At 51.2% G+C, this 14,753-nt stretch overlaps 1 protein-coding gene across 3 annotated transcripts in view, besides 7 other annotated features; it reads right to left on the bottom strand.

Annotated features, from left to right (window-relative positions):
* The window catches only part of PARVG (parvin gamma), a 35,519-nt gene extending 20,769 nt beyond the window's left edge, over window positions 1-14,750 (bottom strand). The window contains exons 1-4 of one of the 3 annotated variants that reach the window (NM_001137605.3): window positions 14,510-14,750; window positions 5,784-5,959; window positions 4,293-4,383; window positions 1,829-1,893 (exon numbers count right to left, since the gene is read on the bottom strand). In NM_001137605.3, the coding sequence (NP_001131077.1) occupies window positions 1,829-1,893; window positions 4,293-4,371 (144 nt within the window). In that variant the 5' untranslated portion in view covers window positions 4,372-4,383; window positions 5,784-5,959; window positions 14,510-14,750. Of the gene's footprint in view, window positions 1-1,828; window positions 1,894-4,292; window positions 4,384-5,783; window positions 5,960-6,515; window positions 6,777-14,509 lie in introns of those variants that run through there. The other 2 variants (NM_022141.7, XM_047441455.1) reach the window with 2 other exon arrangements.
* Window positions 4,599-5,328: an enhancer, noted in NCBI's record as "H3K4me1 hESC enhancer chr22:44578253-44578982 (GRCh37/hg19 assembly coordinates)". NCBI's record gives its function as "activates a minimal SCP1, AML or CMV promoter by ChIP-STARR-seq in naive H9 embryonic stem cells {active_cell/tissue: H9 hESC(naive)}" and the evidence as "EXISTENCE:reporter gene assay evidence [ECO:0000049][PMID:30033119]".
* Window positions 5,196-5,285: an enhancer, noted in NCBI's record as "active region_19209". NCBI's record gives its function as "activates an Ori minimal core promoter by ATAC-STARR-seq in GM12878 lymphoblastoid cells {active_cell/tissue: GM12878}" and the evidence as "EXISTENCE:reporter gene assay evidence [ECO:0000049][PMID:35858748]".
* Window positions 5,329-6,058: an enhancer, noted in NCBI's record as "H3K27ac-H3K4me1 hESC enhancer chr22:44577523-44578252 (GRCh37/hg19 assembly coordinates)". NCBI's record gives its function as "activates a minimal SCP1, AML or CMV promoter by ChIP-STARR-seq in naive H9 embryonic stem cells {active_cell/tissue: H9 hESC(naive)}" and the evidence as "EXISTENCE:reporter gene assay evidence [ECO:0000049][PMID:30033119]".
* Window positions 6,059-6,789: an enhancer, noted in NCBI's record as "H3K27ac-H3K4me1 hESC enhancer chr22:44576792-44577522 (GRCh37/hg19 assembly coordinates)". NCBI's record gives its function as "activates a minimal SCP1, AML or CMV promoter by ChIP-STARR-seq in primed H9 embryonic stem cells {active_cell/tissue: H9 hESC(primed)}" and the evidence as "EXISTENCE:reporter gene assay evidence [ECO:0000049][PMID:30033119]".
* Window positions 6,166-6,295: a silencer, noted in NCBI's record as "silent region_13865". NCBI's record gives its function as "represses an Ori minimal core promoter by ATAC-STARR-seq in GM12878 lymphoblastoid cells {active_cell/tissue: GM12878}" and the evidence as "EXISTENCE:reporter gene assay evidence [ECO:0000049][PMID:35858748]".
* Window positions 7,466-7,515: a silencer, noted in NCBI's record as "silent region_13864". NCBI's record gives its function as "represses an Ori minimal core promoter by ATAC-STARR-seq in GM12878 lymphoblastoid cells {active_cell/tissue: GM12878}" and the evidence as "EXISTENCE:reporter gene assay evidence [ECO:0000049][PMID:35858748]".
* Window positions 12,199-12,931: an enhancer, noted in NCBI's record as "H3K4me1 hESC enhancer chr22:44570650-44571382 (GRCh37/hg19 assembly coordinates)". NCBI's record gives its function as "activates a minimal SCP1, AML or CMV promoter by ChIP-STARR-seq in naive H9 embryonic stem cells {active_cell/tissue: H9 hESC(naive)}" and the evidence as "EXISTENCE:reporter gene assay evidence [ECO:0000049][PMID:30033119]".

Genomic DNA, 14,753 nt, shown 5'->3' with positions numbered 1-14,753 from the left:
GCCTCTCGCCTGCCAACTCCTACCCATCTTTCAAGGCCTGGTCAAATGTCACCTCCACTGGGAAGCCCTCCTTGATCTCCCAGGCTGTTAGGGGCCTGCCCCAGGTTCCTGCAGACTCCCTGCTTCTCTCCATCACAAACCTGAGCAGTGTGGGGCTGTCATTATCATGTGTGAGGTTTTAGTACCAGGAAGTGGGGTACTACCATAGCAAATACCCAAAAATGGGGAAATGGCTTGGGGAATGGAAAGAATTGGACAATGAGCACTTGATAGAAAAAGCCTAGATTGCCCTGAAGAGGTGGTCAGTAGAAATATGGATGTTAAAGGTGCCCCTTCTGAGGTCCTAGGAGGAAATGAGGGACATGACATTGGACGTGAAGATGGAGGTGGGGACTGCAGTGATGCATCCACAGATCTGGGAGACCAGGATGCTGCAGCCATCACAGCTGGGGGAAAGGGAGAAGACAGGGGTCCCCTGAGAGCCTCCAGAAGGAGCCAAGCCTGCCGACCCCTTGGTTGAGGGCCTCTGGCCTGCAGCACTGTAAGACAGTAGGTTTCTGTGGTTTAAGCCATTCAGTCTGTGGTCACATGTTACAGTAGCCCTAGGAAGCTAATGCGGGGGCTGCTGGTACCCTGCCCACTCCTTGACTGTTGCCTACTGGCCCAGCTCCCACCTGCAGCTCTGCTCGAAACTGTCCCCACTCTGCTGTGCTCAAAAGGTCAGAGTGCCAGGGAATCAAGGCCCAGCCCTTTCTCAGGGAGCAGCTGTTCACTAAAGGTTGTCAGGAGGTTGTCGGGGCAGGGGTGGTGGTGTATAAATACCCCAGCTCCATCGCCCCTTGGGCAGGAATGCACTGAACTTGCTCTATGCTGGCTCCAGGGTACCCAGCAGGCTTGAGCCCCCAGAACCATGACCAGCTCCATCACTAACCATGTGTTGGCCCCTTCCCTCCCATGACCCCTGGGATAACCTCCCAACTCAACTACTGGCATCCAAATCCTTGTCTCTGGATCAGCCTGTGGAGGAGACCGAGCTGAGACGACATGTCAGCACCTCACCAGGTCTTCCGGGCAAGACCACAGATGGTGTCCCCAGTGCCAGTCACAGGGCTGGGCCAGGTGTGCTGGTCAAAGGTGGGAAAGGTGGATGGATGGAGTGAGGGAATAGGAAGGAGGATGGGAAATGGCCCACAAAGCCTCTGGGTATGGAAGATGGTGTAGGCCAGGAGGCCTCCCTGGAGGAGGCAACAGAGAGGCCATGTGGAGACTGGAGACACAGACGCTGAGGGAAACAGAGGCCTGGAGCCCACCTGTGCCGAGCTGGTCCAGTGGCCATAGCAGCAGACCCATGACCAAGGAGAGAACTAAGAATGGGTGACCCAGGCCCACCACCACCACCTCACCAGTTCTCCTACACCTTGGGCAGACAAGCTGGGGAGGAGCACGGGCTTAGGGGCTGGCAGCTCGTGTCAAACCACAGCTCCGTTACGGGCAGCTGCGTGCCCCTGACAGATGAGGTCACCTGTCTAAGCCTTGCTGTCTGTCCTGTCCCCGGGATGTAAGGGATAATAGATTCCCCTCAAATCCCATGGGGTTGCTGGGATGGTGTATGTGAAGGCACACAGTTGGTGCTCAATAGATGTTTGTTCATGCAGGCTCTGTGGGTGACTTGCTCCATTCAACAGGCCTTCCAGGGGTCTTCGGGGGTCGCCACCCCCCAGCCTGAGGCCAAGGAGTGGGGACAGCCTGCTGTCCCCGCCCCGTGGAGGCCGCTGCCTGGTCTGCCAAGAGGCACCCAGGGAAGTCAGGGCTGTGGAGGCTGCTGTACCTTCTGCAGTTCTTCAAATTTGGGGTCCTTCCGGGAAGTGGGTGGCAGGTATTTCTTCTTTCCTCCTGGAAGCAGAGTGGGTATGACAAGCGCATGGGGACCCTGTGGGGCGCTTGGCCACACTCCCTGCAGGTCACCCACAGATTTCAGCACCGCAGACCCAGGGGCACCGGTCCTGCCACTTCCGCCCCAGCGTGCTTTCCCTCATTTCCCTCACGAACACCAGCTCATCCTCAGACACTGCAGCATTTATACTTTGAGACATAAACTCGGAAGTTATTTCTTGATTACTTGACATTCAAAGTTAACTGGGTATCCTATGTTTGATATATCTGGCAACCCTACCTATTTAGGTAAAGTGAAACCCCAGCCAGAGAGGGGAGGAGGTGCCCAGGCTCACCAGGCTCTAAGGGGCTAAGGTGGGACTTACCCCAGGTCTGCCAGGCCCCTCCATGGCCCCTCTCGTAGTCAGACTCCCCGGGGTGGCCCTCAGAGGCCCAGCAGCTCCCCTTCCCCAAGGCCATGGCCAGCATCTGCCCACATTTTAGACTCACAGAACCCACAAAATGTCAGGGCCAAGAAGGACCTCTGAGATCAACTAGTTCCAAGGTACATGGGGGGATACTGAGTCAGCAGTGGCGACTGTCTTGCCTAAATTCACAAAATGCATCATCTCTCATGTGACCCCAATAAAGGCTTTTCCTAGGTATTCTGAAAACCTTCAAGTACTACCCAGACCCATGTCTTCTGATGAAAGGGAAGGCAACAGCGTCATGGGCTGTTGTGCCCAGCACAGGGCAGGCTCTCAGCAAACACTTGGGCGGGTGAGCAGGCGAATGAATGAATGAAGAAAGGAAGGAATGAAGGAATGAGTGAATGGATATGGTGCTGCTCCTTCCTGGAGCAGACTTCTTGCCGCTTGAATCATCCAATGTCCCAGCTCTGCTTGCCAGAACTTTTAGTAATTTAAATCAGTTGTAAAACAAAAAATTAATGGGTTTTTTTGTTTGTTTTGTTTGGTAGTAACTAAGTCCTACTATTCTAACTCAGCAACTTTCCTCAGGACACTTTCTAATCTTCAATGTTTTAAACACAGAATACCAGATGGTGACAAAGACAGCCAGGTGACTCTGGACCAAGCTTGTCCCTTCTGGGGTCTCATCTGCCGTGCCAGGGACCCTGTTGGCACTGGAGTTCTCGCTCCATAACACCTACTTAAAAGGCGGCATTCAGGGCTGGGTGCAGTGGCTCACGCCTGTAATCCCAGCACTTTTGGGAGGCCGAGGCGGGTGGATCACTTGAGGTCAGGAGTTTGAGGCCGAGCTGGCCAACATGGTGAAACCCCGTCACTACTAAAAATACAAAAATTAGCCAGGTGTGGTGGCAGGTGCCTATAAGCCCAGCTACTTGGGAGGCTGAGGCAGGAGAATCTCTTAAACCTGGGAGGCAGAGGCTGCAGTGAGCCGAGATCCTGGCACTGCACTCCAGCCTGGGTGACACAGTGAGATTTTTGTCTCAAGAAAAAAATAAATAAATAAACATTAAAAGGCGGTATTCACAGGAGCTGGAGAAAGCCGCATTCTGCTCCCTTCCCTTAAATTATTTCACACATTTTCTTTGTCAGCACATTTATGTTTTTGTGGTTACATAAATTCCAATGAGTTCACCTAAAGCCCTTCCCCACTGGGACATCTCGCTGCTTCCTTGCAAGCTGTTGTTCATTTGTTTCTTTCAGAGAACACAGAGAGGGTGACAGCTCTGGGTACCTGCCCATGTCCTTCTTTTGAGCCATCTCCTAGAAGGGAGGTTGCAGGAACTGTGGCCGCCAACCCCCCAAAGGGCTCATGACACAGAGCTTTACTGAAAGGGCGACCTATAGTCGTTGAATTGCTCCATCCTATGCTCACCCCACTTTTGAAAGGGACCCACACGTGTGAGGGGAGCACGTCAGGAGCCCCACACCCTGCAAAGTATCACTCCATGGTGGGCATCGCTGCGTGGTCCGTGTGGAACCTCAGTTCTGGGACCACCCTCCTTGGGCTCAGAACCCAGGTCCACCACTTGCTAAGAGTTTCCTGTTACTGTGGCACGTCACCCCTTGTGCCTCAGTTTCCTCATCTGTATAAAGCAGGCACTGATGCCCGCCCTTGAGAATAAATGAGTTGCTATTGGTAAGAGGTGCTGGTGCAGTAGGGGCACTCAGAAGGCTCACAGGATGAGAGCAATCAGTATTCACCATCGTAATCCACACCGTCTCTCATCTGGAGAGAAGAGGTTCTAGCTCTGTAGAAGGTCCCAGGAGGAGGAGTTAGGTCAAGCATAAAGCAGAAGGTGGAGGCAGGGGTGAGCAGAATTGGGCGCTCAGCTGACAGCTGGGAAGGTGCTGCAAGTCCCAGGCATGGCCAGGCTCACTCTTGCCACACAGACCTTCACCCTCCACCCTCAGACCTGCGTGGGCACACACCTTTTGAGAGCTCCTCCTCCGCTGGGGGCTCCACCCCCTTGGGGAGCTGCAGCAGGTCGTACAAGAACTCCGGCTCCATCGCCTCCCAAGCCTGCACAGAGGAGGCAGGAGAGGGCGTCACGGTCTGAGAAGCCCCAAACTCACTGAGCCCCTCATTTTCTCTAGACCTGGAGGCACAGAAGGAGGGTAGAAGCCAGGTTCTGGGGACACGTCAGCATGCCAGCCTAGGCAGGGGGTACGGGCCCTGTGAGAAAGAGCCCTTGAGCCAACCCTTGCGGGGTGACGGGTTAGAAAAAGGCACAGAAGCTGAGGGCGGGCACAGCCAAGCAAAGGCTTGGCGGAGGAAGTGGTCCTTCCTCAGGCAGGTGCAGAGCGGCCGCCCACCGTGCTCCTGCAGCCCCCAGCCCCCTACCCAGGGACCCCCCACCCTATCCCAGACAGGACAAAGTAGGTACAGCTCACTCCTCAGAGCTTGTCAGGTTGAGCTCAAGGGAAACCTCCCCGGTCGGCCTGTGTGGGGCTGGCTGAGGTGGATACGTGGAATGGTGACATCTCCCATCCCATAAACCGGAAGGGCCAGGGTTGACAGAGGCACTGTTCATCTTCCTCCTCCTCATTACAGGCAGAAGGCTGGGCTCACCACATGCCCGGGACAGGGGCAGACCCAGAGGCCAGCCCAGCCCTCCTTCCTGTTCCCCTGGCCCACTTCCTCTCCTGTGAAGGCTTCGCTGGCTCGGCTGGCGCCTTCTGGCCTCCCTCTTCCTCCCTTTTCAGCCCCTGGGTCTTCTCAGTGTTTTCAAACTCAATCAGACATTGAGGTAGGGGAGTCACATGGCAGAAGTTGGTGGCCAGAGCAGGGAGCCCCCTGAGCTGTGGGAGACGGAGGCATTCACTCGACTGGAGCCACCCATGTCACACCAGCAGCCAGCCTGGGGCGGGGGATGCCAGACTCCATCCTGCCCTGTAGCATGGAGGTGGTGGGGACACAACTGACTCCCAGCCCCTTAATATCCAAGCTGAGGGCCATGGCCAGAGAAAACGAAAGAGCCTGGCCTGGGCGTCAGGAAGCCTGGGTCCCAGGCCAGCTCCTCCTCACTCAGGCTGTGTGACGTTGGGCAAACCCCCTGCCCTCTCTGGTCCTGATGCATGGTTACAAGGAGGGCCTGGACTCGATGCTGCCCAAAGGGATCAGCAGCCTGGGCAAGCCCCTTCCTGGCCCCAGGGCCTCAGTTTCTTCACCTGGAGACGGAGGGGTTGGCTGAAGTTCAGAGGCGGCAACTCCTCAGTAGAACAGGGAGGGAGGACGCCGAGCAGCCTCTGAGCAGGGGCAGCCGGAGGGGCCGTGGGGACTCAAGGTCCCACTTTACCGACTCCCTTCCCCGGGTGGCCTGGGCTGGGACTGCACTCTGGGATCCTTCCCAGGTGGTGTCTGGGCCCCTCCCTCCGTGACCCCCAACACTCAAGTATGGTGGCCCCGATGCCAGAACTCACCCAACCGCTTTCCACGCAGGAAAACAAAGGCCTACTGAGTGCAAAGGGTGGTCCCTGGATTCCGAATGGAAGCAAGTTCCGGGTTCTTCTGGGGTCTTCGGGGACCAGGCCGGGAGGCAGGAGCCCCGCTGCTCACTTCCTCCAGGCCCGCTCAGCCGGCAGGAGCTTCCTCCTCTCTGCGGCAGGGCCCGAGGGGGGTGGATGCCGTGAAAGTGAAGCTGCCACAAACCTCCAGAAAGCTCTGCCCGGAGCCCCAGCGCCCGCCGTGCCGCCTGGGCCCCCGGGGTTCTGCAGGCCACTTAAACTCAATGCTTTCATTTCTCCCCCTCTCCCCGCCTTCCCCAAACCATGCCAGTTTCCCCGCAGGCTGTTCACCTCCAAAATGGCAGCTACATAGGCCAGAGCCTGGGGTCGACCCCCGCAACCCACCACCAGCACCCTGTCAGCCTGGCCTCCACCCTCCATCCCGCACCGCCGTCCTCCCACCTCCACACCCCGCCCCGGGCCAGGCCCCTTCCTCTCCCGGGACCACGCAGGAGACTCCTACCTGGACTCTCGGCTGCAGACTTCCCCACGCCCCCTGCCCGCCCCTGAGCTGAGGCTCCCACAAGCCCTCGGAGGAGTGAGTCACTTCCTGACCCCACTCACTCAAACCCACCAACGGCACCCAATAGCTCTTAAAATAAAATCCAGGCTGTGCGTGGTCTGTCTCTCTCAATCGCGGTTACATACCCGTGTCTAGAACAATGCTTGGCACAAAGTGGGCTCAGTGAATAAATATTGGTGGTGGTTGTTGCCAAGGGGATCGGGAAGGCTTTCCAGAGGAGAATGGGGCCTTGACGGCTGCATAGGAGTTTGCAGTGGAAGAAGAAGGGGTGAGAACGTGGCAGGTGGAGAAAACAGCGTATGCAAAGGCATAGCAGGGTTCGAGAAGGAGAGATCTCAGCACAGTAGATAGAGAAACACTTCAGACCCGAGCTGGTCTCTCAAGCTGGAATCTTCACCATCCGGGCTGAAATGGTGAGTTTCCCTAGCAACAGGTGACTGGGAAGCTATCTACCCTTTCTGACAGGTTAGGCAGAAAGTGGCTAAATCAGGTGGGATGCAGGTGTAAGGAGTGTGTGAGAGCAGGAAAGTAGGGTCGTTTACAAGAAGTTAATAAAAAATGACAAAACTTAGTACTGGTATTGTTGCTAATATTTATGGAGTCATTGGTGATGAAACAAACATAATTTTAAGGGCTTTCATTTTACTGGAAACTTCCTTGTGAGGTAGGTACAATCATCACCCCCATATTACAGAGGAAGACACTGAGGCACATGAGTCAGTCCCTGCCATTCTGAAGTGCCCGTGCTAGACTGGGGCTTGTAACAGGTGGGGAGAGAAGCCACCGTGCAGGACCTATTTTGCTGGGGCGTGTGTAGCAGGCTCAGCCCAGCTCTGGACACAGTGGTTCTGGTGGTGGCTTCTGACTCTGGATCACAGCCACATAGATGTAGCAGCAGTCACAGTCCCAGCAGCAAAGAGACGGTATATTCCCATGTGCTAACTGAAGACTGTTTAATAAAGGGACAGCTGGGGCAGGGTTAAAGGAACCCAGAAGAGACAGTGCTACACCCCAGGCTAGCAACATGGGGAGCTGTTACTTCTTCAAAACCTAGAGGGTGAAGGAGGGAGTGGGTGGCAGAGCCCAGGAACAGAATCACTGAAGCTCTAAGAGGGGCCTCGGGATAGGAGCTGTGGCCTTTGGTAGAGGGACACAGCCAGCTCATGGTGAACCAGCAGAAGGGCACAGCTGGAGGAATCAATGACCAAGCCTCACTCTCCTCCCTCCTGCCAGGGCCTCCCCTGCCCACATCCAGCCAGAAGCCAGAGAAAAGAAGTCCCCTGCTGCGGCCCATAGATGTGAGGAGAGAAAATGGTGGGGAGTGGATCTGCAGAGGTGAACCTAAAGCATTCAACCCAGAAAGCATGCTTCTAGGGCCAGCCTGACTCGGCAGCTTCCTTCAGGAGCCAGCTCTGCAGTATTCTTCCAAGAGTCCTTGCTGGAGGCGCTGCCTCCAGCCTTCCAACAGCTTGAGAATCACACAGCTTCCTATGTTAGATTCCTTTCTCCTCCAAACAACTGAAGAGACTCTAATCATCGGCAACTGAATCCCAATTAACTTCGGATTTGTTACCAGAAACAATTGCAGGCAACACGACCTCCAGGATGGGAACTGGGATTGGTTACTTGTTCTGGTTGATTTAAAGGCAGTGGGGACCTAGTAACTGTTAGAGAATGGAGTTCTAATAGATCGTAGCCTGTGATGGCAAAATAATTACCTGTCATCACTCAGAACGAAGTACCTATTAAATTGTGGCTTTGGCAGAGTTGTGGCTTCCATACGCAATACGAGCACAGGTTATCTAAGGACTGTGGGGTGAGCTTGTTATCATCACACCAAAGAGTTTAAAGCAAGAAAAGGACAGTCCCAGGGCTTTACATTCTCAGCTCAAGGTATGTGCAGAATACAGGGAGTTCTCTGATAGCCCTCAAAGCTATCTCTCATCTCTTGGGGCTGCAGGGCTGATGTAAGAATCAGATGCGAAATCTAATCCTGTATGGTGTGGAGTTACAACAGACTAAATCCACAACTCACAAAGCCTCTTGTGTGTAGAGCATTGTTTAGGGGAAGAGAGGGACTCTAAGAATTGGAAGAGTAACATGGAGATAAGTCCAAGCACCCCCAAACCCCAATTAAGAGAAAGGCATGGATAGAAGGGAATTATTCCAGCCTTTTTTTTTTTCAGAGACACGGTGTGAAATATACCTGTGCAAATATGCCAAACACTACTGAACTGTATACTTAAAAATAGTTAAGACAGTACATTTTATGTTACGTGTATTTTTAACCACAACTAAAATTTTTAAAAATTAATAAAAAATAAATAAATTGCAGGGATCACATCACTTTAGGGATATCTCTAAATACTTCAGAATGTTTCTCCTAAAAACATTCTCCTGCATAACACAGTACCATTATGATACCTAAGAAAATTAGCATTGATAGAAGGTTTTCTAATATCTCATCCACATTCAAACTTCACCAAGGCTTCAAAAAATGTCTATTACAGCTGTATTTTTTTTAATCCAAGATCCATTCAGGCATCACACAGCACATGTGATTGCATTTGGTTTTCATGTCTCTTTAGAGCCCTGTAATCTAGAACAATCTTTCACGACACTAACATTTTTTAAACATCCAGGTCAGTTGTCCTGTAGAATCTATCACTTCTGTCATTTCCTGGTCTGCTTCTGTGGACTGATTTTTCTCCCGATTGTGGGTCACAGTTTCCTGCTTCTTTATAATAATGTTTTATTGAATGCTAGACATTAAATTTTTATGTCGTCGCGTGCTGAATTTTGTTGCATTTCTTTAAGAAGTGTTGGAATTTTTCTGGCAGAAATATTCTTTTGATGTCTGTTTTTAATAAGCGTAATCTCTGCAAGCTCTGATCTTTGTCTCCTTAAATCAGTGAGACCTGGCTCTGTCTGGGTCCCCCTCACTACAGCACAGTCCAGGAATTATGTCCAGGCAGAAAGCCAAGACCAGGGTAGGGCTCACCTCACTTGCCACCCTTTTCTTGGGGATCACAGATCTGACTCGCCTCTTAACATTTTACTTTTATATAGTTTCAAACTCACAGAAAAGCTGCAGGAAAGTACAAAGAGTTCCTATGTGTATTAGTCCATTTCCATGCTGCTAAAACAGACATACCCAAGACTGGGTAATTTATAAAGAAAGACAGTTTAATGGACTCACAGTTCCACCATGGCTGGGAAGGCCTCACAGTCATGGTGGAAGGTGAAGGGGGAGCAAAGGCATGTCCAATGTCTGAAGTAACTGTTTCCTGTGTTTTGTGGAGGCTTCTAGTTATTCCTGATGGAAAGGTAACTCCAAAAGTGAAAATTCTTTCCTCATAAATATTGATCGATTACAAAGAAGAGTTACATTTTTTAGTGTACAAATTTGATAAACACTATATTAACTAAGTAATATATATTTTTTAAAAATAGAAACAGTGCACTCTGTCAGACTGGAGTGCAGTGGTGTGATCACGGCTCACTGCGGCTTTGAACTCCTGGGCTTAAGTGATCCTCCTGGGTAACTGGGACCACAGACGTGTGCTCACATGCTAAGTAATCAAAATTAACATCATAAGAAAGTAAAACAATCAACATGACATGTCTCCTGGTAATGATGCGCTGAGAGGAACACATCACTTCTACCGAAAACGCATAACCTGGATCTAATAACGAGGAAAATACTAGATCAATCCAAGCTGCAAGACATTCTGGAACATAACTGGCTTGGATTCTCCAAAGAATCAAGGCTATGAAACATAAGGAAAGACTGAAGGGCCACTCCAGACTACAGGAGGCTGGAGAGATGGGACAACTCATTCAATGCCTTGTCCTGCCTCTTATTTTGGCATAAAGGACATCATTGAGACAATTGGAAAAAAACACAATTAAGGTTTGTAGATTAGACAATGCCATTGTATCAATGTTATTTCCTGATTATGACACATACTGAGATTATGGAAGAGAATGTCTTCACTTTTAGGAAGCTACACTGATGTATTTAGAGGTGAAGAGGATATAATGCATGCAACTTACCCTCAAAGATTCAGAAAATATATATATCACCAGGTAAATGTGTGCGTCTAAAGAAATATATATCATTATTATTATATCGAGAGAGGCAGATAGGCAGGGACAGAAAGAGAGTGAAGAGGATAAAGTAAAAATGTTAACATTCATGAGTCTCCAGGTAAACATAGTGATATGGTTTGGCTATGTCCCCACCCAAATCTCATCTTGAATTGTAGCTCCCATAATCCCCACGTGTCATGAGAGGGACCTGGTGGGAGGTAACTGAATCATGGGGACGGGTTTTTCCATGCTGTTCTCATGATGGTGAATAAGTCTCATGAGACTGGTTGGTTTTATAAAGGACAGTTCACCTAAACACACTCTTTTGCCTGCCGCCATGTAAGATATGCCTTTGCTCCTCCTTCGCCTTCCACCATCATTGTGAGGCCTCTCCAGCCATGTGGAACGGTGAGTCCACTAAACCTTTTTCCTTTTAAAATTACCCAGTCTTGGGTATGTCTCTTTTAGCAGCATGAGAATGGATTAATACACATAGGAACTCTTTGTAGTATTCCTGCAACTTTTCTGCGGGTTTGAAACTATATAAAAGTAAAATGTTAAAAGAAAAAAAAAAGCCTTTGCTCTCATCCTAGTTTAATATCACTCTAAGTGCACGAATTAAAAAAAAAAAATCCAATGTGTTATACTCCACATTGCTCCTTCAGATGCTTGAAGTATCCAAAATGTGGACGCTGTTTGTGCCTCTGTCCTTTTGACATGTCCCCATCATTCCTTGAGTACAGTTGGCCCTCCATATCCTTGGTTGCACATTCATGGATTTAACCAACCACGAATTAAAAATATCAAGAAAAAATTGCATCTGTACCAGACACATACAGAATTTTTCTCCGTCATTATTCCCTAAGTGATACAGTGTAACAACTATTTACATAGCATTTACATTGTATTAGGTATCATAAGTAATTTAGAGCTGGTTTAAAGTATGCAGGAGGATGTGCGTAGGTTATATGCAAATACTGTGCAGTTTGATATCAGGGACTTGAGCATCTTCAGATTTTGGTATCCTCCAGGGTCCCGGATTCACTCCACAGAGGATACCAGGGACAACTGTGCTTCCCTGCTTTCCGGCACAGTGTTTCAGGCTCACCTTGGCAATACATTTTAAGAATGAGATTGTGGGAGGAAATCTAGCACTACATTCCAAAGCCATCGAGAACATCAGAACCCTGTGTGGATGTTTCGAAAACACACCAAACATCCACAAAGGTGTTGCATACTTTAAGGTGACAGTCTTTCCTAAAAGCTGTCCGGTGTGACCATGTCCCGGCTGTTAGGACCAGCCACATGGCCACCTAAATCCGAGGGGCTGGGGACTGGAAGAATATGTGGCCTTTGCCCCATTTCCCTGGTGTCAGAGACCTCCTTACCCGCCTCTATGCCCAGATGCAGCCCTCTGCTCCATCTTCGTCCCAGACCTGCCCCCAGCTGCATTTCTTCATCGGCCTCACTGTGTTGTCCACCTGCCACTCCACTCTCTCCTGGTTCCTGTGCCCTAGCACACCCCCACCCCCCCACACCCAACGCCTCAGCGGCACACAGCAGGCTCCCACTACTCACTGACCCAATGAATGCTCCAGGTCCTACTGTGTTGGACACAGGGATTCCCCACCCCCTGCCCCAGGGCAAAGCCTCACCCTGGTGAAGATGATGATGGTGTATTAAATCAAATTTAAACCCCAAAGAGTGGGTTTCCACGGAAAACCTCACTAATTCTGAGCTGCCCAACCCCAGGGCACTGTCCTTGCGGAAGGAACAGAGATGCCCGTCCCTGCGGTGGCCGGGGATTCCTGCCTGGGTAAGGATGAACAGAGGTGACCTCAGAAGGTCCCTTCCTTCTCGAGATTCTCAGATTCTGCCAGTTCTGTCACATCTGAGGGCAAGTGGCCGTGCAATGTCAGTTCCCCCAGAGACTGGCCACCAGGAAAGGAGGGGCCCTGTCCTAAGCAGAGAGCCCCCTCCCCACCACGGCCCCCTGGGGAGGTGACGGCTGAATTGGGGGGCCTTTCTGGGGACATGCAGCTCACACCAGTGCATTGGCCTGAAAGAATGGGACAGAAGCAATGTTTTTTGTTTTTGAGACCGAGTTTCCCTCTTGTTGCCTAGGCTGGAATACAATGGTGCAGTCTCAGCTTACTGAAACCTCCGCCTCCTGGGTTCAAGTGATTCTCTTGCCTCAGCCTCCCTAGTAGCTGGGATTACAGGTGCCTGGCACCACGCCCAGCTAATTTTTTTATATTTAGTAGAGATAGGGTTTCACCATGTTAGCCAGGCTGGTCTTGAACTCCTGACCTCAGGTGATCCACCTGCCTCAGTCTCCCAAAGTGCTGGGATGACAGGCATAAGCCACTGTGCCCGGACGGCAGTTATATTTGAGAACAAGTGAGAAAGGTCGGAGAATCAGGTCAGGCTAAGAGCATCTTCAGAACCATCCTATATCACCTACACTTTTCTTTTTTGTTTTTGAGGCAGAGTCTCACTCTGTTACCCAGGCTGGAGTGCAGTGGGGTGATCTCGGCTCAATGCAACCTCCGCCTCCCAGGTTCAAGTGATTCTCATGCCTTAGACTCCCGAGTAGCTGGGATTACAGGTGTGCGCCACCATGCCCAGCTAATTTTTATTTTTTGTGGGTTTTTTTTTTTGTTTGTTTGTTTTTAGCGGAGACAGGGTTTTGTCATGTTGGCCAGGCTGGTCTTGAACTCCTAGCCTCAAGTGATCAGCCCACCTCGGCCTCCCAAAGTGCTGGGATTACAGGCATGAGCCAGAGCCCACTAGGCTCAGCCCAAAACCAATTTTTATAATAGACAAAGAATTAAAGCCACCTGGATTAGTCCCTACTCCGGTGCACCTGAAGCACTCAGGTCCTGTTCCTTCTCGAAGACTGGCTTCCACCACACCATCTCCAGGCTTCAGCTGTCCCTCTCCAGACAGGTAACCACCCCCCTGCCCCACCTGCACCCTTCCTTTCTGGGAGTTCCCTCTCACTCCCCTGCCCCACCCGCACCCCTCCTTTCTGGGCATTTTCTCTCACTCCACCAGCTCAAGGGCAGGGGACGCTCTTCTCACTGGCCACTTGCCCCAGCCTTGGACAAACCAGACCCTTGGTAAACGACTGCTGAACAGAACCAATCGGAAGATCCCCAGAAGGTTCTGCACCATTGCTGGCCTTGAAAACTCGGCATTTCAGTGGAAAATATTTTATCCTCATCAATAGTAACAGTTGAGTCCTACCCAATAAAAGTGCAGGCGAAGACAGGCCAGCTCAAGGACCTGGCACTCTACTGCAGGGCTTCCCAACCTCAGCACAGTGCACAGGGGGGCCCGGTGATTCTTTGCTGGGGAGAAGGGAGCCTGTCCCGTGCACTGTGGGATGTTAAGCTGTAACCCGGGCCCCACCAGCTACCTGCCCAGAACCCAAACTGTCTCCAGACATTGCCAAAGATCCCCCAAGGGGCAGAACCTCCCTCTCTGCTGACAATGGCTGACTTTGAAAGAAGGAGGTTGAATTTGTCCCTCAGAACCCTCAGCTGGAAGGTGTGGATTACTTCGCTCCCCGCAGTCACGGTCACACAGTGACAAACCTGGACACAAACCCAGGCACTTCTCCAAAGCCCAGATTCCTTCCATCCACAGTTTATAATTTTTAGCTTATTTTTTTTTAATAGCGTGGTTGCCTTTCTCTCCAGGCTACCCATCCTGGACTAGTCACAATTTTATCATCATTTCGTAAAATTCGACGCACCTGAAACCTGCTATGACCTGTGCCAAGGAGAGTTTATGGCAGGGCCAGCACGGAGGGCAGGCCACCATCTCCGCCACACAGGGGTTCCTTGCCTTTCAGAGTCAACAGCGGTCACTTACTGGTCAGCATGCAAGGCCCAGTGACGTCACATCATGAAAAGTAAGGAGACCACCTCCATGTGTCATGCAGCCTGTGCTCCTGGCCGCTAGCTTTGTGCACGTATGGTCTGGACCCAGGCAGAGGGGCAGATGAGCCTTTATTACTCACCTGCAGCTGTGACTCTGCTGCCCTCTTCTCCTTGTGGTCCCAGCAGAAGTTTGGGGTTCCCAAAGTCCCATCCCCCACAAAGGGCTGTGAACCAGCTCTTCCCCCAGCTCCTGTCCAATTGGAAGGTCCCGGGAAGCAGCGCTGGGTGGAGTCACAACGCCCTGGCACCTGTTCCTTCGCTGGCACCATCCATGACTGCTAAATGCATGAAAGATTAAAACAGCAGCCAAACAAAGACGGTGGA

The sequence above is a fragment of the Homo sapiens genome, chromosome 22 (assembly GCF_000001405.40).
Source record: "Homo sapiens chromosome 22, GRCh38.p14 Primary Assembly".
Lineage (NCBI taxonomy): Eukaryota > Metazoa > Chordata > Mammalia > Primates > Hominidae > Homo > Homo sapiens.
The sequence above is the reverse complement of the archived record's forward strand: the minus strand, read 5'-3'. Positions and strand labels throughout refer to the sequence as shown.